Genomic DNA, 26,863 nt, shown 5'->3' on the forward strand with positions numbered 1-26,863 from the left:
TCTTATCCTCTACAGACCTCATTGGTCATGATGTATGGGTCAGGAAGTCCTTTGGGTGGGGAGAAAGAAAGGAAGATTCAGATGGGATATGATATTTGAGCAGAGACTTTGGATGATGAACATTGAACCTCCTTTGTGTTCTCAGTTGTTAGCAAAGGGATCAGACTAGTCATTCCCCAGAGGTCCTTCTAACTTTGAAATTTTGTCTCTGACATCACAAATAATTTCATGCTTTCATTAAACATTTGTGTTTCTACCTCTGGCCTGTAGTCCTTGGACTCTTGTTCCATAGGCGTAGGGTTGTGAATGGCAAAAGAGGATCTTGGTGTTCTTTTATGAAGTGATACCAACATATTTCACTTCTAGGATAATGACAATATTGGCAATATGAATCTTAACATGAGAGTTAACTGATTAACTTTTTGTGTTTTTATGGAATTGCTCAATTGGTTATCATAAATAGATTTTGTTAAATTCCAGCCTTTATGTAATTTCTAAGCACATTTCATTTGTATGTCTTATTTCAGTGCTGGACCCAAAGGAGACAACATTTATGAATGGAGGTCAACTATATTGGGACCCCCAGGATCTGTCTATGAAGGAGGGGTGTTCTTTCTTGACATTACCTTTTCACCAGACTATCCGTTTAAACCCCCTAAGGTCAGTATGAAGTTTTCATTGATTTTTAGCAATATGGATTATATTTCTAGATACATATACTTATTCTTAAATATGCATTCTAGGGATGCATGTCTATTCTGTTGTCACAGACAGCTTCCCAGGATTGATAGTGTATAAAATGAAACAATGTAAAAAATTGTAGGTTATTCCTCCACCCCAGCTTTTTACTGATTTCATTGTTTTTTTTCTCCTCCTTTTTCTCCTCATTATCTCCTTTCTTTGTTATATGTTTTAATGTAACATTAAAACACCATGTTTTATGGGTGAAAATGGGGGCATAAGGTTGGGCCAGGGTGAGTACCAGAGCCCAGAAAATCAGACGTAGCCTGGAGCCAGAGCCCAAGCAAGCTAAGCGCAAGAATCAGGCTAAAGGCAGAGGAAGCCTTGCCTAGGCAAGGTTTATAGCACCAGCTATGGAGGTTTGAGTTTTGGTGCCTCTAGAGTTCAGCTGCTCACATGTAGCACACATGGACTAGTATGGAAAGTATGACCCACAGAGACTTAAAAGTTGTGTTAAAAAATTTCGTAAAGTATTTATAATAGTTCATTAATGAAACTAATCAATGAAAAGTCATGTATGTTCATGTCTGATGTGGAAGAGTGCAGTGAAATCAGAACATGAAAGAATCCTCACTTATTTAAGCCAAGGTTATATACTTTAGAAAGTCTTCACATTCTTTTCTACTGCCTATAAGTCGGATATTTGACTGTTTTAAATATTGTGTCGTCTCCATTAGCATTTGTTCTCCACTATAGCAAAGGAAATGACCCTGAGGACACTATGTTTTGACTACCAAGAAAGAATTCTCGTCTGGCCCTGACTTAACGTCACAATGCACAGGGATAGAAAACTTGTTTGTATTGTGGGTTGGAGTAAACAATATAAAAAAACAAGAATAAGACTAGACGTTCACCATGACTTTCTATAATTCCCCTCCCTCCTCTTTTTTGCCCCTGCTCTTCCTTTCTTCCTTCCTTTCCATTGATGCTTAGATAGTGTTACCAAAGCAAAAAGTAGTAGCTATAATTACCCTCAATGAGGAAACCAAGGACAGAGGAACTAAGTAACTTGTCCAGCATTATGCATCAAGCAAATTGTGGTGTAAGGATTTGAATCTGGAAAGCCTGGCTCCAAAGCCCATACTTCTTCCTACATTACACAATACATTTTATTCAAGCTGTCAGGGCTGGTGGCACTGGTGACCACCAAGAGCTTGCATTTGGTAGGTTTTCAATGACAAAGCCATGGTAAATCTAATACTTATCTTCTCCCTTTACTGGATGGGACCCTTATACCTTCCTTTTCTACTTTAGACCAGCCCTTATGTCACCTGGAGTATCTGTTGTACTATGAGGGATGTAAGGACCTTTCTTTCTCAGCCTCTACAGTAAAGGATGCACAGAGTGAGGAAGGAGGAGGAAAACTCAGACCAGGCTATTGTGCTGCTTGTAAATCTGATGTGATCTGTTCCTTGAGATTAGTAGTTTCAGAAAATGTGTGGGCTTATCCTAGTTCTGAATGACAGAAATGTGTAGATTAAACAAAGCTAGAATAAGCTGGGGGGAGAGAGTCAAATCGCATTCTTGACTTTCTCCACTGAGTCGTGCACTCCACTGGGCATCAGCTCTGCCAACTCATTTCTTCTCCAGAACACTCCAGTAAGACTAGGATGTTCCCCTGTCACAGAGGAGGAAACATAGATGAGACTTAGAGAGGTTTTCCAAGAGTGTACAACCAGGAATCTACTGAAGTCTGACTCCAGGGGCCATGTACTTTCCACTGAATTATACACACTTGCCTTGGAGAAGTTGACTGGTAAAAATAGGGCGTGGGAGGAATGCTTTATCTGTCCTCACATGTTTTAGGGACTATGGTGTGGGTAGGGGTTGGACTTTATCCAGGATGGTTGGATGGGACAAAAATAGAAGCAGGAGGGTGTCAGTTACCGGGAAGTAGATTTCAGTTTTCTCTGAGGGAAATCTGACCCACAGTGGGACAGTCAACTTGTGTGTAGCTCTACCTCTGAGACACCACACTTCCCTTTACTAGGAGTGTTCAAGAAAAAACTGAGTTACTACCTGTCAAGAATTTTACCAGAAAAAATGGAATCCCTCCACATAATGAATTGGACCAGACAATCTCTAAGGAGAAAAAAAAAAGCAAACTTTGGTACCTATAACCACAATTCAAATGCACATTTGATAGGTATCTGTGGAAAGTATTTAAAAGCAAATTATCAACTCCTAATATATCAGTTTTAGAGATCAGATTCTGTAGATAGATGTGTTACTCGAGGGAGAAAAAACTTGGGGTGTAGTGAAGGCTATTAAGTAAAACAAATACTCTTATTATTAATAGTTTTGATGTAACAACTCCATGCCTTCCTAGTGTCCTGTTACTGTAAATAGTACATGTTTCAAGTTGTCTTGGGTTTTTTTTCTCTGCTGCTTGGTATTTTTCTCTCTTTTGCTCTTTTTTTTTTTTTCACGTTAGCCATGCATTTTGATTCCTGCAACATTTCCCAATACTCTGAAGAATGAACCAGGGAAGCAGTGGGTGTCAGGGGGAATTACTTATAAGAGCAGATGCTTATAAATACATCTGATGGGCTATCTGATGGTTATTTGTGTGGATATACATACCATAAAATTAGTCCGTAGCATGATTGGGTTCATGAGATAATTTTTTCCAAATTATCATAAATAGAACCTTTTATGAGGACTTCTAAACACTGCAGAGCTCAAATGTAGCTTTTAAAGGTCAGAGGAATGATTCGAGATGCCCCTTCTTGTTGCAGGAACTTTTTCACAGTAGGGCTTGATCAGGTTGAACACCCTATATTCCACTGCCCAATTTTTTAAAATCAGAGATGAGCTATTCTAGTAATTTCTTCCAGAATTTGCCTAAATTCTAATAAGGCGAGCAAAACAATTACTACCTGAGTACATAATGTTAATTAAACTTAGTATTCTAGTTTTAAATAGGTTGAGTATTAGTACTTTTCAAATGCTATATTTCAGTACAATTTTTAGTACATTGAATTTCTTATATGTTTATGCCTTTTACTTAACCTATAGCACAATTTTACTATTTCAAAGTAGGTAAGGCATTTTACATAGTATCTTTTCTTGTATGACATTGTCCATTGCATTTGATGTCAGGTCTTCAGCTGAGTATTTAACCACCAATGATAATATTATTTCTCTGTGAAAATACCTGTTTAATAGAACTCCACCTAGGAATACTACATTATGGCCAAAAAGAAAAGTGTAATGAACTGCTAGTGTGTGTAAAAGCTTTTTACACCTATTTATTTTTCAGTGTAGACATATGTTTTAATGTTTTCATTCAGTATCTTTTTAAGGTAGAAGTTGCTTTGTTTTTTGGGGTTTTTTTTTTGTCATTTGGTTGGTTGGTTTTTGTTTTTGTTTTTGTTTTTGTTTTTTGAGATAGAGTTCGCTCTTTTGCCTAAGCTGGAGTGAAGTGGCACAATCTCGGCTTACTGCAACCTCCGCCCCCTGGATTCAAGCAGTTTTCCTGCCTCAGCCTCCCGAGTAGCTGGGATTACAGGCACCTGCCACCACACTCGGCCTATTTTTTGTATTTTTAGTGGAGACAGGGTTTCGCCATGTTGGCCAGGCTGGTGTTGAACTCCTGACCTCAGGTGATCCACCTGCTTCAGCCTCCCAAGGTGCTGGATTACAACCGTGAGCCACCACGCCCGGCCAGAAGTTCCTTTACATTTTGCTGGGGATTAGCTTTTAGATTCATAGATAATTAGTTTTTAAATTTATGGGTAATTACTCCTCAGCCAGGTGCAGTTGCTCACACTGGTAATCCCAGCACTTTGGGAGGCTGAGACAGGTGGATCATTTGAGATCAGGAGTTCGAGACCAGCCTGGCCAACATGGCAAAATCCCATCTCTACTAAAAATACAAAAATTATCTGGGCATGGTGACTCACACTTGTAATTCCAGCTTCTCAGGAGGCTGAGGCATGAGAATTACTTGAACCCAGGAGACGAGGCTGCAGTGAGCTGAGATTGCACCACTGCACTCCAGCCTGGGGGACGGAGCAAGACTCTGTCTCTAAATGAATAAATAAATAAGTAAAATTACTCCTCAAAGTGCTCAAAATCTGTACTTTATTTTAAAAGTTTAATATGTAAGTATTTTAATGTTATTCATTTTGCAGCCTACATATTTGTTACATAATTAAAAAACAGTTGCAGATAAGCAAAAGGGAAAAAAATTTGCCTGTAATCTCCCCCAAACTGATTATTCATGCCATTTAGGTATATCTGTTTTAAGACTTTTGTTTCCTTCATTTGTATCATATACATATAAATATGTACACGTACATGCCTGTACATATATATACATAAACACACATACACCTTTTTACAAAAATTGGGCCATACTCCCCATGGCTTCATGATTACTTTTTAATCTAATGTTATATTTTCATCCCGTGCCATATATTATATATTTCCAGTAAACATTTAATTGTGTTACAGTTAGAAAGGGTGCCTAGTATTCCGTTGTATAAATATACCAAAATTTAATCACTTTCATGTGGCTGAACAATTAGGTTCTTCTCATTGCTTCTGTTATAATCAGTGATGTGATGAACATTCATATAATTACACATTTTTATACTTTTATGATTTTCTCAGGTTAAATTTGTTGCTGTGGAATTTCTGGGTAAAGAGTTTGCACGTGTTTATAGAGTTTTTGGTAACGATTGACAAATCGTGCTCCAGAAAAATTCTATCAGTTTACATCGTGACCATCAACATGACAGTGTAGAACTTCCCTACACTCCCCTCAGCTTTTAGGATTTTAAGTCTTTTTTACTGGCAATAGATGAAAAGTCGTATCTTATGGTTGCATTAATTTACATTTATTTGACTACCTGTGAAATGTATGACAGTTTTCATGTATACTGTTGTCCTATCTCATTATTTCTTTTCGTGAATAATATAAAAAACATTTTATCTTAAAAGTCTTACATCAAATAAAATTAACAAGGATGCTTGAAGAATTCAGAAACTAATGGAATATATTATGTTGGGGTTTTTTCCTACCAAAAACACTTTGAAAATATTGTGACACTCTGTGTCTAATGTTTCTGTTTCAGACATTCTTTCTTTTTTTTTTTTTTGAGACAGGGTCTCACTCTGGGGCCCAGGCTGGAGTGCAGTGACGTGATCATGGCTTACTGCAACCTCCGCCCAGTCTCAAGCGATCCTTTCACGTCAGCCTCCCAAGAGGCTGGGACTACAGGCACACACCACCACACCTGGCTAATTTTTGTTTTTTTTTTTGTTTTTTTTTTTGTAGAGACAGGGTTTTGCCATGTTGCTCAGGCTGGTCTTGAACTCCGGGGCTCAAGCAGTCTGCGCACTTTGGCCTCCCAAAGTGCTGGAATTACAGGCATGAGCCACCGCCGCCGGCCTGTGTTAGAAATTATAATGACTTACATCCTCACTAAGGACTCATGTTAGGTAACAGGTCAGGTGTTTGTCTTTTCAGTAGAAATGCATAGGGGTAACGCATTTTTAATTTAGCTTTTTCTGTCTCCCTGTGAATCTGTACATGACATAAAAAATAAGTGTAAATAGATTTGAAATTAGGTAGGTGAGAGAGTCACTCATGTTTGTTTTTTATTTTCAGTATTTCAGGCAACTTATGCACAGGTTAGACATGCTGTGTCCATGTTCCTGGGAAACACTGTTTTCTCTGGTAATGGCAAGAAGATAGTATCTGCTGGTGATAAAATTTGTGCCTCAGGTGTTTTATAAAACAAGACAAAAAATTACACACATCAGTAAAGTGTCTGTAAGTGAAATTAAGAATGATATTCAAAATCTTTTAAAATATAATTTGTTCTTTCACTACAAATTTTACCAAGTACATTTTAAAATCCTAGAGATCAATTCAGAGCATATCAGTTTATGGGTTTGTTTGTTGTTATTTTTTATAAAGTCTAACTATGGGTTGCTTACTAATGTCAGCTAATGCGGAAGGCCTTCACTGCTTTTGAAAAGTGAAATAGATGGGGTCTTCAGGTTTTCAAAATCTTTATTTTTCTCATTAGATTTTAACCTTAAATTGACAGGTCATGGCTACTCATAAATAAGGTAGCTAATTAGTTACGATAAGAAACAGTGATATTCAGCATCTGAAAGCCAGAGAGAGATCTGTAACTGAAGTTCAACAATGAGTTCCACAACTGCACCCTTACTCTAGATTATTATTATGTACTTGTTTTTATTGTTAATGCTACTACTCAAAGAAGAAAGTTGAATGTGTTTCCCAGAATTTTCAGTAAGAGCAGTGATTTATGTGTGTAAACCCAACTACCCATTCATTTACTCCAGCCTTGGTTAGAGAACATGCAGTTGTCATGGAATAACATGAATTGGCTTGTTTTTAACCTGAGTTCGTGCATTCATATAAAGCTTGGCCATGGGTCAAGTTCTTTCTTACATTTTGAATTGCCTATTTGACATCTCTAGTTGAACATCCAGTAGTCATCTCAAACTTAACAAATCCAGAACCAAATTATTGATTACCCCATTCTACATCAGCCAGACCAGCTCCTCTAGTCTTCCCCATATCAATGAATGTCAGGTCTTTTTTTCCAGTTGCTAAAACTAAAAACCTTACATTCATTCTTGACTCCTTTCACACAGCTAGCCAGACCCAGTCCCACTGGCTCAATCTTGACAATAAATCTAGAATCCAAACATTTCTCACCATCTTTCCCTAGAAACTCTTTGGCGCAAACCACCGTCAACTGTTCTCCTCCCTCAGATTATTGTGGAAATCTCCTATGTGGTCTTCCTGGTTCCACCCTTGTCCCTTCAACAGTACACCCCATATGCTGAAAGATTCCTTTTTTATTTTTTTGGCTGGAATGGAGTGGTGTGATCTCAGCTCACTGCAACCTCAGCCTCCCGGGCTCAAGCAATCTTCCCACCCCAGCCTCCCAAATGGCTGGGACCACAGGCATTTGCCACCATGCCCGGCTAATTTTGTATTTTTGATAGAAATGGGGTTTCGCCATGTTGCCCAGGCTGATCTCGAACTCCTGAGCTCAAGCAATCCGTCCGCCTCAGCGTTTCAGAAGTGCTGGGATTACAGGCATGAGCCACCACACCCAGCCTAAAGCTTCCTTCTATAGTGTGTCAGATTATGTAAATTATTTGCTTAAACCCTTCAGTGATTCCCAGCTCCTGAATAAAAGCCTATAAAGCCATATAGAACCACCCCGTCCACAGAACAGTTTTCAAAGTGCCAGCCATCATTTTTTACTCAAATACTCAAAGCATGCTTCTTCACAAGCCTTTCCATTTGTTCTTCCTTCTGCCTGCGTTTGTATGCCACCCAGAAATTCACATGACTCACTTCATTTCTCCCTTGATGTCTCTGCTCAAATGTCACCTTTTCAGAGAGGTTCTTGGATGACAAATTCCAACCTCCTTAGGTTCCCTATAAACTTCCTCAAACTTCCTCACAACCACTAGTATACTTGATTTTTTGCTATAGCACCTCTCCCTCTTGGTGTTATATATTTCTTTGTTTATTTATTATGTTTCCCTTTCCCCAATTAGCATGTAAGCTCAATGAACACAGAAACTTTGTCTATTTTGATGTCACTCCTTTAATCTCATCCATGTAGAACAATACCTGGTGATTCAGTAGGCAGTCAATAAAAATTTGTTGAATTAGTTAAATGCATGTAACTGTGCCCTAAGCAAAATGTTTATTACCCCCACTTCATGGATCAGAAAACTGAGCTCCATGGAGGTTAAGCTGCGCACAGGCCACAAAGGAAGTAGGTAGCAGAACCAGAATCTAAACCCAGTTCTAAACTGAGCCTTTTATCTCCAATTATAGAGAAGGTTGAGGTTGCTTATATCCCTGGAAGAAGGAATACTTGTTCCTGGATTATACACTCTGGTATGAATTAATTATATCACATTATTCTCCAACCCAAGTATTTTTGAGGGGAGAGGAAAGACAGTATGAGGAGGAAAGAGATGGTTTGAGGAGGAAAGAATGTTAGAAGAGATTTTGTGTGCCTTTCTGTTTTGCCAGGAATCCTCTTTCCGAAGACACTGGGGGCTTTTCTTCAATATGTTTCTAATTCACAGACTAACGTGTTATATCTACGTTAAATAATAAATATTGATTTCTGGATTTTGCCAGCTTTAAAGAAGTTACTTCACATTTCACAGATCATTTTCACATTTAACTAGTGTCAGAATGGCCTTGTATCCTCAGTGTCATGACTGGGCTGTCATAGGTTTGCTTACATCACATGAGTCAGTTTTTCTTTTTGGTCCGTGCTCCTTTTGATAAACTTTTAATAATGGCATGCTATCCTTAAATGTTGTGTGAAATCCCAAAATGAATGTGATGATTAAAAATTGATCAAAATGGTGTCATTGTCTTTGTGCTTTTAAAATAATGCACATTATATCTGTGTGTCCAGCCACCACCTACAATTACCACCAGTTTAGTAATTACTAAGAAGTAGGATTGGGTTTTGTTTTCAGGGCAAAGAATACCAACTTTATTGTAAGCCAAATTAAATATGCCTATAAGCTAATAGGAAATCAGCCTTTTGGTTGACAGGAAGTTTAATTTAGCCATATTTTGGGAAGATACGTTTGTTCCTAGCTTTCTATAGTCTAATGCAGTTTGCTAATTTTAAAGAAGGACCTTTAGTTTATTATTGTCTCCTGAGATGCTTATTGCTCAAGCCAGCTTAATTTTTCAGGTTGGATCAACTCAACCAACTGTACGTTTGCACAAGCCTTGAAGAGGTGGTGGTGAATCAGCCACTCTGATATCTACTGACACACCCTTATAAGAGCCCTGCCATAAAGGTGGAGGTTTCAAACAAGTATTTTACTGTGCTTCTCCATGCCCTGGAGTTCCTATCTCTGTGAATGTGACCGCACTCTAAATGGAAGTTTGTGTTGGTTGATATTACTGTCAGCATAACTGGGAGGGGTAGATAGGCCTAAATTCCTTCACGATGGATGTTCTTCCGCGGAGAAGTTATGTGAACAGGGGAGACTGAAGTGAGACATTCAGAAGCTTGGAAAATGAGGATCTTCTTTGCCTTCAGGGCTCAGAAAAGGTTCAACTCACTTACCAAAGAGGGGTGACTTTTCTAAGGAAAGATTCACAGATGACACAAGTGATACCCTCCCCTCACGTGAGTTTTCTGAAGAGAGAAGGGTAGGGTAACTCCTCCAGGTACAGTCTTCAGTATCCCAAACATCAAAGGGTATTGAGTGATCCACTCACTGGTCCCATAAAACAGTGAACACTGGAAACTCTGAGAGAAACACTCTAAGCACATAAAATTTAAGGACAATAAAATGATACTGGAAGAAATATTCTTGTAAAGAGGAAAACCTTCTGTAGTACTGAGCCAGATGAAGCTTCAGTTTTGGCATTTTCCTAACCTTACAGGAAAGGGCTTTTATGGAACCAGATCAAGACATGGAACAGACACCCTGTGTTGATTGTCTGTAAATTTGAAAACAAATTATATTTCATTGTCCACTTGAGAGATGGGATGGGGAAATAATATTCTACGTGTGATGAAAAAAAGTATAATATTCTCCACTTTATTTAAATATGTTACTTGCTTAGATAGTTATTTGTGACGTTATTTTGTTCAAGCTGGGATACAGTAGGCAGGTCTGAGTTCATTTCTGAGACTGCCTGCCAAATATCAATCCCTTTATGGCAAGTGATCAAATTTCCTTGATTTTTTCTTTTTTTTAATATATATGTTTTTTTATTATACTTGAAGTTCTAGGGTACATGTGCACAACATGTAGGTTTGTTACATATGTATACATGTGCCATGTTGGCGTGCTGCACCCGTTAACTCGTCCTTTACATTAGGTATATCTCCGAATGCTATCCCTCCCCCCTCCCCCCACCCCACAACAGGCCCCGGTGTGTGATGTTCCCCTTCCTGTGTCCAAATGTTCTCATTGTTCAGTTCCCACCTATGAGTGAGAACATGCAGTGTTTGGTTTTTTGTCCTTGTGATAGTTTGCTGAGAATGATGGTTTCCAGCTTCATTCATGTCCCTACAAAGGACATGAACTCATCATTTTTTATGGCCGCATAGTATTCCATGGTGTATATGTGCCACATTTTCTTAATCCAATCTATCATTGTTAGACATTTGGGTTGGTTCGTAGTCTTTGCTATTGTGAATAGTGCCACAATAAACATACGATTTTTTCTTTTCATTAGAGTTGGAGCAGGATCTCTCCGTAAGGTAGCAGCCTCTTAGAGATTTGTTCAAGGAGATCTAAAGAAAATGAGACAGAGAGAAATGAATGTTCCTAGTTTGCAGCTGTCCAAGAGAAGAGTCAGTACATGATCATGGCTTATTGATGAATTAGAGAAGATAGGACCACCTGTCCTTTCGCAGGTGTGGTGCAGGTCTTGTCCTGCCAAAAATAAGGAGAAACAAAGTCAGACAGTCAACAAAAATTATAAATAAAATGCATCTAGGGGACTGGGCATGGTGGCTCACGCCTGTAATCCCAGCACTTTGGGAGGCCAAGGTGGGTGGATCAGTTGAGGTTAGGAGTTTGAGCCCAGCTTGACCAACATGGTGAAACCCTTTGTCTACAAAAAATACAAAAATTAGCCAGGCTTGGTGGCACACGCCCGTAATCCCAGCTACTTGGAAGGCTGAGACATGAGAATTGCTTGAACCCAGGAGGTGGAGGCTGCAGTAAATTGAAATCATGCCACTGCACTCCAGCCTGGGTGACAGAGCAAGACTGGGTCAAAAAAAAAAATAAGATAAAATAAAATGGATCTAGGATCAGACAAAGTTATTCATACTGATTCATATAAGCATACCTATTCTAAACCATCAGGTGAATTTTTCTTATGGTATCAGTGTATTAGCTGTTAACAGAGACCTGCCAAAAATTCTTGTAGGTTGGTTGCTTTTTTAAATACCTGTTTTAAGGCTCATTTATAAAGCAGAGGTTTATTGAGCCCCTACTACTTTCCAGGCCCTTGATATATAAAGATGAGTAAGATACAGCCCTGGAAGCATGGAGACAGAAAGAACAATTAGGGGCTGACACAATAGTTCAGCCCAGAAAAGAATTAAGGCTCAGCTGTGAAGATAAAAACAAGGAGAATAATGTATAAATTCTCTTCTCATTCCATTATTAAGTAATCATGTATGTACCATGCAGTGGTCTAGATACTGAACATAGAGAAGTGAGCAATGGCATGCCCCATCTTGCATAGAATTTACATTCAAGGTATGGTAGAATAGGATTTTTTCAACTTTGACCCAGCTGACATTTTGAGCAAGATAATACTTTGTAGTAAAGGGCTACCCTTTGTATTGTAGAATACATAGCGGCATGCCTGATCTCTACCCACTAAATGCCAATAGCAATCTCCCCTGTCCCTCATTGTGACAACAAAAATTTCTCCAGATGTTGCCAAGTATACCCTGAAGGAGGGGATCACCCTGTTGAGAACCACTGTGTTAGCACTGACATCCATATCTACTGGTGACTAGTTTGAAACATCAGGAAGGACTCTCTGGTTTCTGATCTGAATGACCAGGTAGGGATATGTTGCCTGTGAGGAACTTATGGGACACCTGAGTGGGAAGTGCAGAAATGTTCAGCCAACAGCTTAATAGATCTGGAGTTCAGGTGAGTCATATGAGCTAGAGGTACTGATTTGGGAGTTAGCAGACACAGATTTGGGTGTTAAAACCCTAGATAGAATAAATGATCTCACCTAGAGAAATGGGCAATTTTCAACCCAAACTGAATTTTTGAACCTATGAATTTCCAGAATGGGTTTTCCAAAAGAAAAGAATGATGACTGAAAAAACTAACAAAGCTGATATTTTCTCTTTTTCATTAAGTTCTCACTGTTTGGGGATTGGAAAGTTATTTTCCATATAGAGTATTATTGCTGGAAAGCTTATATAATAATACCTCATAAAATATCATGCTTTTATTACAAGGAAAAAACCTCATTTGTTGTTAATAAATTATATAAATTAATTTTCTCACAAGTGCCTAAATCAGGCCTAAAATAAGTCAAAATAATTACCTGTAGTTGCAGTGGCCTTCTGCAGGGCAATGGACTAAATGACTTTTTTTAAGCTCCTCTTGAGCCTTTGGTTTCAGTTTTAATCGAACTAAAACTTATATAAGTAATGTGATTAGGATCACATAGCTAATAAGGCCAGGGTCAGGATTAGAACTCCTGGCCTCCTAATTTCCAGTCCTGCAGCCCCTACTCTTCACACCTGAACCAACTGAGCTATGAAGTGATCTTGGTAAGTGCACAGTAATTCAGTTTTTTGCCTACAGCCTTTCTTTCCTGCCTGCCTGCCTTTTTTTTTTTTTTTCTATTTATTTTATTATTTTTGTTTTTTGAGACAGTCTTACCCTGTCACCCAGGCTGGAGTGCAGTGGCACGATCTCAGCTCACTGCAGCCTCAACCTCCAGGGCTCAAGTGATTCTCCCACCTCAGCCTCCCAAGTAGCCAGGACTACAGGCATGTGCCACCATGCCTGGCAAATTTTTTTGATTTCTGAAAGAGATTAGGTCTCACTATGTTGTCACGGGCTGATCTCAAACTCCTGAGCTCAACCAGTCCTCCTGAGCTCAACCAGTCCTCCTGCCTTGGCCTCCCAAAGTGCTAGTATTACGGGCATGAGCCACTGCACCCAACCAGCCATACTTTAGGTCACTCTTTGTGTTCTTTTCTGTAGTCCCTTTTGCCTCTATTTTTGTGGAGAATTAAGGTTAAATAAGATTTTTTGTTTGGGCACTTACCAAGTTGTATATCTGTGTATAGACTGCGCTCAGTGGCTCATGCCTGTAATCCCAGCACTTTAGGAGGCCAAGACGGCCAGATCACCTGAAGTCAGGAGTTCAAGACCAGCCTGCCTAACATGGTGAAACCCCATCTCTACTAAAAATACAAAAATTAGCCAGGCGTGGTGGCGCACGCTTGTAATTCCAGCTACTCAGTAGGCCAATGCACGAGAATTGCTTGAACCCAGGAGGCAGAGGTTGCAGTGAGCCAAGATTGTGGCAGAGCAGGACCTTGACCATACATACATACATACATGCATACATACATACATAAAAACTTAAAATATCTGTACATGTACAGTATACTATATATACTGTGTATTTATGTTTCCCCCATACTTGGCCACTAATGCATTTTAAACTCTATCTCTGTGGATAAAACATTACAGTAGTTTGTTCAACAAGGAAATAACATATAAAGCAATATGTTTATTTCAGGTTATTTCCAGTTTATTTTCTTCATTTCTTTTTTCTTTTCTCTCTTCCAGACATCACTACTTCTTGTAGTGATTTGCTTTTAAAACCAAACTATTTTTCTTTTTAAATTAGTTTTAAATAGGTAATATATATACACAGTAAAAAGTTCAAACAGCACAAAAGGTATGCAGTCCTCCTCATTGCCCAGCATTCCCGTTACCTTCCCAAAGACATCTTTTATTCTGCATTTACTTTTTGCATTTACCATCTTGAAGATTATCCCATATTTGTATGTGTAGATCTTTGTTAGAATCACATAATATTATATTGAACAAGTGTACCATAAGTTTTCCTGTGATTGACATACAGGGATTTTTTTTAATCTTTTGCCATCACAAATAACGTTTCACTGAGTATCTTTGTACATACTGTCTTTGTGGACTTCTGCAAATATATCCGTGGGATAAATTCCTAGAAGTGGAATTACTGGGACTAATGATGTATGCATGTTCAATTTTAATAGATTCTGCCCAGATTGCCCTCCAAAGAAGCTATACAAAGTTATACTCCCAACTTAGGCACACCTGCCTCTTTTCCTACATCCTTATCAGTGCTGTGTGACATCAAATATTTGACCTTTATGAATCTGATATAAATAAAAGAATATTTATAATTGCTTTCTCTCATTATAAGTAAAATAATACCTTTTCATGTGTCCAGAATTTGGACTTTTTTTTATTGAAAGTAAGTGTACACTTTTTCTTATTGAAAGAGTGTGAAGAGTTTCCATATAGAAACCTATGGATGTAGTATTTTCATCTGTAGAAAGAGGCTTAACAGTCTCTAAGTTTCCTTTCACATCTTTAACTGTCAGTGATTTGTCACTGCCCTGCTTAAAACTCTTCAGTGGCTTCCCATTGCACTTAGAATAAAATCCAAACTTCTTTGTCTTACAAGGCCCTACGTGATCTCTCTGCCTGCCTCATCACATGCAGGCCCTCCTAGGCCTCCTTTTTGACCTTATGATTTGCCAGTACATTTGACTGGAACATGTTTGATCCAGTTCTTCATGTGGTCAATACCTTCTCATTGTTCAGGACTGTTCAGAGTTAGATCCTGAGAGGTACATTTTCTGACCACCTTCTATAAACAGTGCCACACTAGTTGTTGCTGTCACGTCAACCTGATGGTTTCTTTCTCACGTTACCTTCTAAGATCCAAAGACCTTATGTGCCTTACAGTACCTGGCAGATATGATTGATGAAGCAAATGAATATTCATTTAGCCTGTGTATCCTTAACACTTCTGAAATCTTTTTTGCCCTGTTGGTTTGTAGTACTGAAATATTGTGCAGTGTGTATGTGTTTTCATTCTCATTCTCCCATATCTAATCATATCTAATTCTTATACCCAGAAGGCAGGGCCTTGCTTTTCCCTGAAGATGCCTGCCATAAAGGCATCCAGTAAACCCAGTAGAAAGTAATATTTTATTATTATTATTATTATTTATTTTTGAGATGGTGTGTCGGTGCCTGACTGCATGAGAAATGACAAATGGAAGGAGGCTGAGCAGACAAGTTTGAGAAAGCACAAAAAAGTGGTTAAAGAACTTCATCAAGCTGAGACAAGGAGAAATGTCTTAGGAGTCTGGTCAAATAGAGGGGTTTCATTCAAACAAAAAGCCAAGGGGATTAAGAATTGAGGCCACAGTACTGAATTGGTGAACTCCGAGAATGTAATAAAAGTATACTAATGAAAAATAAGACAATGATTAAGCAATAGATAAGGAGTAGGAATAAACTGCAGTTTGTCTTCAGTTTCAGTATTGGGTCAAAATCTGCTCTTAGGTTTAATTTTGATCTTGTCCTTTGGAAGACCAAATAGCTGAATTTCTGATTAATCATTTCCATCATCTCTGAACCTGGCATGATCAATGATTGTATGATTTGTACTAAAGAACTGACCTTCATGTTTTCTGAAGCTTACTCTCAAATAGTTGTAGGGACAAAATAAACTTGGGGTGTGTGTGTGTGTGTGTGTGTGTGTGTGTGTGTACATATATATAGAGAGAGAGATACATACATATGTATAGAGAGAGAGATAAAGCAGATTTAGCAAGCTGTTAACAGTTGGTGAGTCTGTTTACTATAGGTTTGAATTTTTTTAATAAGTTGAAAAACAATGAAAAGCAAAGTGAAATAGGAGATATTTCCTCCTGCAGGTGTGCACACACATGTAAATACCTAACATTTGGAGCACTGTTGTTGAACAAACAGAGTGGCAGGGAAGGCTTTCTCAAGGAAGTATTATTTAGCTGGTCCATGATGGATGATAGAATTTCAATAGGAAGGAGAGAGAAGATAGGTTTATCAAGCTACAGAATGACAATGTTTTTAAATGTGAAAAATACAAGCCCTCCCTCCTCCTTGGACATGGATACCATCTCCTCCTGGCAATTCGATTAGTATGGGTGTATAACCAGCATATACTCCCTGTAAAAATTAGACAGACACTTGAAATTTTAATACGTTCTCATTAATTAAGAACATATAAAAGTGGTATAAAAATTTGAAGGGCAAGGTGCAGTGGCTAACGCCTATAATCCCAGCACTTTGAGAGGCTGAGGTGGGAGGATCGCTTGAGGCCAGAAGTTCACGACAAGCCTGGACAACATAGTGAGATCGCATCTCTACAAAAAGAAAAAAAAAAAAAAGAAAAGAAAAAACGAGCCAGGCGTGGTAGCTCACACCTGTAGTCTCAGCTACTCAGGTGGCTAAGGCAGAGCTTGAGCCCAGGAGTTGGAGATAGCAGTGAGCTATAATGATGCCACTATACTCCAGCCTGGGCAACAGAGGGAGACCCTGTCTCTGAAAAACAAAACAAAAATTAAAAAGGAGCAACCAGATTAATGTTTCTTAAGAGAACATTTCTTACATCATTCCACTCCAAAAAAGATGTTGAAGTACATGTGCATGCTTTGAAAGCTAACCTGCAGGTGGAAATTCAGAAACAGTTGTATCTTGGATACCAGTTACACTGTTCTATTACTGTATTTCTAGATACATAGTTTAAGAACAACTTTTTTCCCTCAAAAGATTGTGTGAACAACAAATACAAGCAAAAATATTAGGGGGAGAAAGAATATATATCAGAGCAATAGCATTGTTTGTTATAAAAATATTCAAAGCACCTTCTTAGAGCAGTGCATAAAACTTGAGTTTGTGAGATTACTTCAGTGAAACTGCATTATAACTGTGAACCAAATCTGCAAAACAGATGGTTGAAAGAGATAATGTTTTTACCTTACTCAGTTGGTATTAGAGAAGAAAAGCCTAATAACACTATGGTAACAGACTCTGATACCAGCAGTATCTATAACAAAAAAAATCTTGTTCCTCCACTAGGCTCAGTATAAAGTAAGCAGATGTATATTATAGCAGTCAACAGTGTTTAGAAAATACTATTCCTGCAGTATAATATCAAAGTGAAGACAAAATTCTTAAATATTTTTAATAGTGAAAGTGTAATAGTTAGAAATTTGGATGAAAAAATTTATTCTTGTATCCTCTATTCTTAACCTTTTTAATAGATTTATTTTTATGACCAATAAAGGATGTTACTTCCAACCAGGCTAAAAGTATTTTACTATGTGACTGTATAAACTAATGATACAGGTTTTTAGTACATACCTGAGAAATGAGTCTTATTAATTTAAAGTTTTACAACATCTAGCTAAAGCCATCCATCTAATTGTGGGACCTCTAGATATGTGTTCTTTAACACCTTAGAACATATCAGTTTCATGATGAACATGACCACTTTACTATGATGATATGTTAGTTTTTACTTCAAACAAAACTATTTATTTCTGTCCTTTAATACCACTAGATAATTTTGACTAAAATAGGAGGAAATAAATGAAACACTGACCAATACAGGCCTTTGAAGAAAGTGCATTCTTCTAATATTGTCAGAACAAAAGTCCATGAATCTTCTTTTAAAGGAAAAAAAGCATAGTTAGTCTTTTCTACCGAGACATCCCAGCTTTTTAAATTATTTGAACTGTTTATTTGAAGTAGACACAATGTAGTGATATGTGCCATGCTTCTGGAATTTCTATGAGTTTTATTTTCTAATATGAAGAATTAATGAAATATTTAAAATCTCAACTCTGCAATTAATATTTAAGACTTATAATCTCTGTCGACTAAAATACTAATCACAAGACTTTTTAAATTGCCTTAAATCAAAATTTGAATGACAAAGCACATTTCCCTACATAAGCTTTACACATCTCTCCATTGACACCTCCCATCTCAGACTCCCAAAAAGAAGGCACTGTAAACCTAACTGTTGAAACATCAGAAGCTCTCGATCAATTGTCATTTTTAATTATGGTATGTGTGGCCTCCTTTCAAATGTAAATATTCTGTGTTTTTCCAGTTAATTTGTTTATTGAACAAATACATGTCAATATCCTCTTTCCTAGAGGGGATAAAAATCAGTATCAGAGATAATCCCTGTCCTTATATAAATTTGTTCCCTTTGTAAATAAACATTTTTGCTAGCCTGTCTACAAAAAATTTATTTCTGAAATCTTTATTTAGCTGTACATACAACTATCAGTTTTGTAAAATGAAGTTGGCACTATTTATTTAAAAAGCCACATGTGGTGCAGTTGTTTGCTTCTAAAAGGTGGTATTGTTATACCACAGCAGACAATTTTCTACTAGATAGAAAATTTCAAAGATAAATGTTGCAAATTATATGGAAAGGAAAACAGCGGCCTAGAGTGTTTATTTAAGATAGTACTTCAGATTTCTTTTAGGGACAGGAGATTCAGGAAGCAGGAATAAAACATTAGAAAATGGGAATTTTTTTTTTCACACAATTCTGAGTCATTCTTATTCCCCCTACTCCCCACTCTTCCTTTTTTCTTTTTCCTTGTTTCTATCAGATACATTTCTACACAGCTTTAAGGAAAATTAACCCATTTTTTTTAGGGCAGTAGTCTTACAGAGAATATTGGAGGGGAAAAGATAAACCCAAAAGAACAGGCTTTGGAAGCCGTGGAATGTGAATGAAGCAAGATACTCTAGAAGGTGGAAGTAGAGACTGAAGAAATCATGTCAGAAATCATAGAGTGGTAGCAGAGATTAGATATGGACAAGTGGGGAATAGAGAAGAACAGAAGAGAGAGATTGCCTGGGATAAAAGAAAATTAGGCATGGAAATTTAAGTGGAAAACAAACCCAGGTAGTTACCATTAGATACAAATAAAATTTAAGATATTCCTCATAATACTACATATTCCTTCAGTAAGACTAAAAAGTAATTCTTGAATGCTTGCCACGAAGGCAGAAAGAGGTATGTTTGTGATAGTCCTGGAGTTGTTGAAATGAGCTGTGAGCTAGTTTATGTTTACAGTGAGGAAGGAAACTTAGATCCATCCTTATAAGGATGCCTTGACCTGAAGAGTCAGAAGGCTTGCCTTAGGCTCTTCTCATATATTTGCTGCCTTCCTTTTCCCCTCTCCGATATTCTCCACAGTGGGTTCCAGGAAGTGGTGCAGGCTTGATGGGAACTGGTTTTCAGTAAGTTCTGGCTGCTGTGTGCCTGCAGTGCCTTGTCCCTTTTTCCCTCTGTCCCTGCCTCAGATTGTGGATTGTGTTGCCCATGTTTTCTCCATCTCCCCCTCCCTTATTTCTGTTTCACATATATTCATTTCTTTCTTGGTTTGGTCAGCTGTTAAGACAATATTCAAAGAAAATGGTATTAATCATATAAAAGCCATTTTGTGAATTTAGGAATAAGTTAGTGTCATCTACCACAAAGCATTTGTTCCACAAAAGGCTAATTTGAGAACGAACATCATATAACAATCCTGTTCCAAATCCCTAAAACACCTCTTTCATCATGGCATTCTCCTAAACTGCAGGATGAAAGACCAGCTCCTCAGTTTGTCATTCAACATCTACTCCTTCACTCCTTCCCTAAGACTCCAATCTTATTTTCTAACCATTTTTAAGTAAACCAATATTTGTATGTCAGGTTGGTTGCAAGGGGGTCATATATCAAGCAAGAATTAGCACATTCTCAAATAGAAATAACTAGCTTAGAAAATTAAGTGCACTTCTACTTTACCAAGGTTTTTTTTTTTGCTATTTTATTCCTTTATAACAAATGCTTATACATTATCATTTTTCTATTTTACAATCTAATTCAAATCATCACATAGTATTAGTCATGCCTGTTATAAAACCAACTAAAACTTTCAAATATTTAATAAAAGTACCCTTTTTTATTTTTCAAGTATGCTTCCTGATTAGCTGTTACTTTCAGTGTACAGTATTATGAGTATCAGGTTAGTTAACTACATCTATTCTGCATAGATGTTTAAACAATATTCACTAGAATATTCTGTGTGCTGAGATTTAAGTTATTCAAAGATTATACATGTTAAGTGAGAGTTTTCAAGTCATGTTGAAACAGTTGTTTACTTTTTTAACTGACTTGGGTTTTTTTGCCTTTAGTAATCTCACAATAGTAATAGTGAATATATATATGTGTGAGGGTTTTTTTTGTTTTGTTTTTGAGACAGGGTCTCGCTCTATTGCCCATACTGGAGTGCAGTGGCACAGTCATGGTTCACTGCAGCCTCAACCTTGTGGGCTCAAGTGATCTTCCCTCCTCAACCTTCTGACTGGCTAGGGCTACAGACACATGCCACCATGCCCAGCTAATTTTTTTTTTTTCATTATTTTGTAGAGACGGAGTTTTACCATGTTGCCCACGCAGGTCTCTTAACTCCCAGGCTGAGCCTGAGCCACCACACCCAGCCATGAATATCATTAAACATTTCTTCTCTTCGCTATTCACTTTACATGCTTGATCATTTTGTCAGAACTTGATCTGAGAAACCTGTTGAATCCCTGTGTCATTAGCTTTGCTCTGTAAAGTCAAACTGTTGAGATCTGGAATTTACATAATTTTCTTTATTATTTTTTTCTGTCATTTTCTTTAATTAAAAAAAAAACTTTGAGGGTGTGGGGTTTTCATTTGTCTTTGATTATTTTGTATTTTCCTTATAAGCTTTTTGCTTAGTATTGGAATTGACTTTACTGTGAGGATTTGAATTCCTCTCAACCTATGTCTGTTTCTTAGTAATAATAGTACCCACCTTACAGGATGAGTGTGAAGATTATGTAATAAATGCAAGTCACCTAGGACAGTGCGTGGCACATAAACATGGCATTATTGGTAGCTATTTTAATTATTACTATTATTTTTGGTTACAACTTACTGTTTATACATGTGGTATTTTTTAACTTTATGGTAAGAACATAGGGGAAAAATATGATTACCCTCAAGTATGCATACAAAGTTTGGAAATTTTTATAGTATTTGTGAATACTCTGCTACTTTCAAAGAATGTCTCTTTTGTGTGTTGTACACATAGCATTCAACCAAAAGAGTGGGAATTTGGCCAACTCTATAATAGCTGTAAATTTACTTATCATTAACAGAATCAGTCATTGTTTTACTATATTTTTATTAGTTTTAGAGACACAGAGTCTCTGTCATTCAGGCTAGAGTATATGGTGTAATCATAGCTCACTACAGCCTCATATTCCTGGGCACAAGCTGCCCTCCTACCTCAGCCTCCCAAGTAGCTAGTAATACAGGCACACACAACCATGCCTGGATAGTTTTTTAGTTCTTTGTAGGGACAGGGTCTTGCTGTGTTGCCCAGGCTGGTCTCAGATTTCTGGCCTCAAGTGATCCCTGCTCCTCAGCCTCCCAAAGTGTTGGGATTACAGGTGTTAGCCACCAAGCCCAGCTCATGTTTTTTTTTATATCATGTTTAAATATAGTTTACTTCTACACTTTTGTAGGCTGTATGAAAAGCTAAATCATCACTTCTAGCTAGTTTGACAAATACTTTGTATTGTGTTGTATATGAACTGGATTATTGATCTCTTAAAATAAATAACTGACCCTTCATATATCTATAAACATAAAATGTATTACTCCTTTCCTGAAGGATGGAGTAATCCTGTACATTATTTTCATTTTACATTTATCAAATCTGTAAATATGCTGCGTCTTACAGAATTGCCTTGGGGAGTGTGAGACCTATAAAAAATGTAAAGAAAAGAAACGAAAAGGAGGACATTCTCCTTCTGTTTGTGTTTATGTCACTGTCTTTAGTTAAACAGCAAGTGTGATATGGTCAGTCATTTATTACATGCTTTACATGGAATCCATTAACTATCTCAGCTGTTGTGCTTCCTAATTAATTGTTGTTATGTATGAGACACTTTTGCAGTTCTAAAGCCAGAAATGAATCATCTTGTCTAAGAGATGTTGGTCCTTTGGACATCTGTTAAATTATCTTCTGTGGACAGTACTAATTGATAAATAAGTGCTGTTGGCTCAACATAGCCCCACATAATGGTTGTTAAGTTTGTTATTCAAGAGCAATTGTTCTAGTACCTGACTGGGGGAGACTGATGCCTCTAGGACAAGCTCATCCAATCCGGGCCCAGGATGGCTTTGAATGCGGCCAACACAAATTGGTAAACCTCCTTAAAACATGATAAGGTTTTGTTTGTTTGTTTGTTTGTTTTAGCTCATGAGCTATCATAAGTATATTTTATATGTAGCTCAAGACGATTCTTCTTCTTCCAATGTAGCCCAGGAAAGACAAAAGATTGGACACCCTTGCTCCAGAAGGAAGATTAAACCAAGAAAGCTTTGGGTTCTGGTTTTGATGGATCCCCGTGTACCCCCCACCCCCCCAGCACTAATTGAGCACCTACTATGTATGTGCTTAATGAATTAAAGCAGTGTGAATGTTTAAATGATTATTTGTGTACCTGTTTAAGTTTAGATACCAGGTTATCTTTATTTCCACCACAGTTGTTTGGTGGAACAGCCGTTTTTAAATCCGTATGTGATTATGTTATTGGATAACTTGTCCTAAGGCACAAAAACTCATTTGTAGAAAACTCATATAACCAGCTAATTTTTTTTTTTTTTTTTTTTGAGGCAGAGTCTCGCTCTGTTGCCCAGGCTGGAGTGCAGTGGCACGATCTCAGCTCACTGCAAGCTCCGCCTCCCGGGTTCGCGCCGTTCTCCTGCCTCAGCCTCCGGAGTAGCTGGGACTACAGGCGCCCGCCACCACGCCCGGCTAATTTTGTGCATTTTTAGTAGAGACAGGGTTTCACCATGTTAGCCAGGATGGTCTCGATATCCTGACCTCAGGTGATCTGCCCGCCTCGGCCTTCCAAAGTGCTGGGATTACAGGCGTGAGCCACCGCGCCTGGCCATAACCAGCTTATTTTTTAAATTCCTTGTTTTAAATTTCTGTTTTGCTTTTTTGAGTAAATTTTTTAAAGACTTGTTAAAATCTAAGCCTTCAAATAGTGAGTTTGTACTCTTAGAGTTTTGTTTAATTTCTGAACCCCTCCACTTTTTTTTAACCCATTGAGAAGGAAACCTCTATATGCATGCCAAACAAGCATTGATTGAGCTGGTTTCAGGCAACTATGTCTTTACCAGATAGTATCTCCTTCAAAAGAAAGTATTTGAGATGTCATCTGTAGGAGACTTCTATGAAGATTTGAATCTAAATCAGCTCTTCTTTTCCTAAGGGATTATTTTATTTTATTGCCTTATGTTTTGGCATATATGGTACAGTCTAGTCTCAAACTAGTGTTACCTGAGGCCCATGAAGATGCAAATGCAAAACATTCCACAGTCCAAAGCACATGGGACTTCTATAGAAAGAAAAAAAAATGCCCACTGAGAATGAACTCACACTCAAAGATTTCTGTCTGTACCATGATACAATCTACCATTAAGGAGAATCTTCTGGAATACCATTTCTGAAACTTAAAAAAACAGAACAAGTCAAGAGACAAAATAATTGTGTAAAGATAAAAAAATGAAATATGAAATATAATGAAAGAAGTAACTAATTTAAAAAAAACACAAATTTAGAAAAGAACCAGTGAACTTTATTCATTATAGGTATGTTCCAGAAACATTCTATATAAACTGAATTTTTATAAATTGCAAAAGAAGGAATCTGTTTGCCCCTTATCAAGTCATACCAAGCATCCTGCGCTGTAGGAGTTGAGAGTAATTTGCTGTATTGTAGGAAAGAGCACTGAGAATTGAATAAGATGCTCCCAATCTTCTAAGAGATTTGCTTCCCGTGATGGGGAAAATTTTCTAGTTGCATGTTTTTCTACATTTATACATAAAAGGAAACTGAGAAAGACTTTTTTCAATTTAAATGTCTGTGGCATAAAGGTCTTTTGTTTTAAATCATTTGAATTGTACTTGAAAGCTAAAAGATAGTAGTCTTATCATGTAGCATGCTCTAGCATGTAGTTAGTATTCACAGCTGGATAGGTGTCATCTTTATGCATTATGGTTTTCAGGTGATGTTTAATTTCAGTTCCTTCACTGCCAGTTATTCAAGGGCCAGATAATATTCCTATGGGGTGGGGGGCTGGGGGAAGGTGGTGTTCTGTTTTGCTAATGTGTATTTCTTAGATATACATATTTTTCAGGATTTATTCCCTCACTATAATGAGGTTTTCCATTTTTATTTTGTCACTAATAAAAAATTAATTTTAGGGTGTATGTTAGTTATTGGTGCAGTGCTCTCAAATTGGTTTTAAGAAAAGAGCACTTGAAATCTCAAAGAGGGGATTTTTTTTTTTTATGTATACTAACAACCTGTTTAAATAAACTGTAGTTTCATAGTGAGCCTAATGATGTTAACCATACCATTTTAGAGCTTTGTTACATGATTTACTGATTCATGGCATGGGGGCTTCAAATATTTGTGGGGTTGGGGGGTTCTCCGTGGAAAAGTATTTTTAAAAAGAATGTTCTCACTGATTGCAGATTTTCTCAGTAAAAGCAAGGCACCATTTATGTCCTTATCAAAATTTTTTGAAAAATTGAAAAACATTATCATTGAAAAATTATTTTAAATTGTTATTTTGAATGTTATTATCAGAATTAGTTTTTCATCTTGGAGGTGCTTACTTTTAAACATCTTTCTAAATTATGTTTAGAATCAGTTTGTCAGAAATACTGTATTAAAATTTTTTTTATATTTATGCCTTTCATGATCTCTGTCCTCTTACAAAATTACTTTTTATTTATATATGGAGTCTTGCCTATACCTTAAAGTGATGCATTCTCAGTTAATCTTATAACTAGTAACTAGGGGATGTAAGAGAAGGGAAGAAGAACTAATACTCATTGGATTCCTGCTGAGTGCCAGGCAGGCTATTAGAACCATTTGTGTACTTCAGTCTTCACAGCTACTGTGGGTATAGCTGTTATTTTCCTCATTTTACAGATGAAGAAACTGAATCTCAAAGATGTTAAGTAATTCATCCAAAAAGAGAATTCCAGCCCAAGTCCAGCTAACTCCCAAACCCATATATTCTTTCCACAATACAACTCATGGATCATGGAACTAGAATAAGCCTTAGAAATAATCTAAGCCTCTTGTTTTGTTAGGAAAGAGAGGCTCAGAGTTGCAAAGTTAGTTATCCAAGAATGCTACTGTGTTCTTTTATGCTTTAGTCAACATAAAGAATGTTAACTCTTTCTAGAATTATTTTTAAGGAGAGATGATTCTGTGAAGTACAGAAATAGCACAGCTTCATTTTTAAGTACCTTTTAAGAGAAAGTAATGAGACAGCTGGGAGATACAGATACACACAGACACACAGACACACACACACACACACACACACACACGTGTGCACTATATTAGTTTCCTGTTGCTACTGTTACAGACTTAGTGGCTTGAAACAGTATGAATTTATTGTCTTATAGTCTTATAGTTCCGTGGGTCAGAAGACTCAAATCAAGGTATTAGCATGGCTGAGTTCATTCTTGAGGCTTTAGGGGAAAAATCCATTTCCTTGCCTTTTTCAGCTTCTAGAGGCCAACTACATTCCTTGGCTCATGGCTCCTTCCTCACATCACTTATCACATCCCCTACTACTGACCCTGATCCTCGTGCCTCTCTCTTAAAGTACCCTTGAAATTATATTGGGCCCACCTAAATAATCCAGGATAATCACCCCCATCTCAAGATTCTCCGCCTAATCACAAGGCTGTTTTTATCATGTGAGGTAACATTCACAGGTTCCAGGAATTAGGATGTGGACATCTTTGGGGCAAGAGGGCATTATTCCATCTACTGCACATGTGTACCCACACATGCAGGTGTTGGGTGTGTGTTTATCACACATAAATTAAAACCTTTGTTATCCAGGGCCATCTGGGAATTAGCCATTCTAAATAAATGTTTTCTATATCGCTATATCCAAGTCGTATTTTTAAAATTTCCTTTTTATGGAAAATGTTCCAAAAGGTGCTGTCCTCCCTGCCTTTGAAAACTGTTATTCTCAATATAATTTTACCTATCATTGAGAAAAGGTGGCTACCATTGTAAACATCAGTTATTGAGCTATGCTTCAAATACAGCTATAAATGCCAATGTAGGCGTAACTAGTTTGATACACAGAACTCAGCGGGTATTAACCCTTGCAATGGAAGTGCAGTTTGCTTTATGGTCATTTTTTATCATTTGCTTGTTTGTCAGGAACATGACATGAAGGATGTATAGCTGCCCAGCCCCCTGATCAAAATAATGTGATGGGCTTTCTGGAAAATTGAGTCAGAGATCGGAGTAGTCTTGTAGGTTAAGGGTGGGAAGACTTCTTTTCTCAGCCTCTAAACTTCTCCTTCTGGCAGTTGCAAATTCTTTGCTATTTGTCACTATTCAAAACATTATTTCCT

At 37.4% G+C, this 26,863-nt stretch overlaps 1 protein-coding gene across 4 annotated transcripts in view, besides 3 other annotated features; it reads left to right on the forward strand.

Annotated features, from left to right (window-relative positions):
- The window catches only part of UBE2E2 (ubiquitin conjugating enzyme E2 E2), a 388,828-nt gene that overhangs the window by 295,983 nt on the left and 65,982 nt on the right, over positions 1 to 26,863 (forward strand). For all 4 annotated transcript variants that reach the window (NM_001370225.1, NM_001370226.1, NM_152653.4 and 1 more), the window contains exon 4: positions 528 to 660. In NM_001370225.1, the coding sequence (NP_001357154.1) occupies positions 528 to 660 (133 nt within the window). The remainder of the gene's footprint in view (positions 1 to 527; positions 661 to 26,863) is intronic.
- Positions 7,133 to 7,633: an enhancer, noted in NCBI's record as "H3K4me1 hESC enhancer chr3:23547704-23548204 (GRCh37/hg19 assembly coordinates)". NCBI's record gives its function as "activates a minimal SCP1, AML or CMV promoter by ChIP-STARR-seq in naive H9 embryonic stem cells {active_cell/tissue: H9 hESC(naive)}" and the evidence as "EXISTENCE:reporter gene assay evidence [ECO:0000049][PMID:30033119]".
- Positions 7,634 to 8,134: an enhancer, noted in NCBI's record as "H3K4me1 hESC enhancer chr3:23548205-23548705 (GRCh37/hg19 assembly coordinates)". NCBI's record gives its function as "activates a minimal SCP1, AML or CMV promoter by ChIP-STARR-seq in naive H9 embryonic stem cells {active_cell/tissue: H9 hESC(naive)}" and the evidence as "EXISTENCE:reporter gene assay evidence [ECO:0000049][PMID:30033119]".
- Positions 19,804 to 19,973: an enhancer, noted in NCBI's record as "experimental_68793 CRE fragment used in MPRA reporter constructs". NCBI's record gives its function as "activates a minimal promoter by MPRAs in K562 erythroleukemia cells, with activity observed for both the introgressed and non-introgressed 3:23560460 variant alleles {active_cell/tissue: K562}" and the evidence as "EXISTENCE:reporter gene assay evidence [ECO:0000049][PMID:34662402]".

This window comes from Homo sapiens, chromosome 3 (genome assembly GCF_000001405.40).
Source record: "Homo sapiens chromosome 3, GRCh38.p14 Primary Assembly".
NCBI lineage: Eukaryota > Metazoa > Chordata > Mammalia > Primates > Hominidae > Homo > Homo sapiens.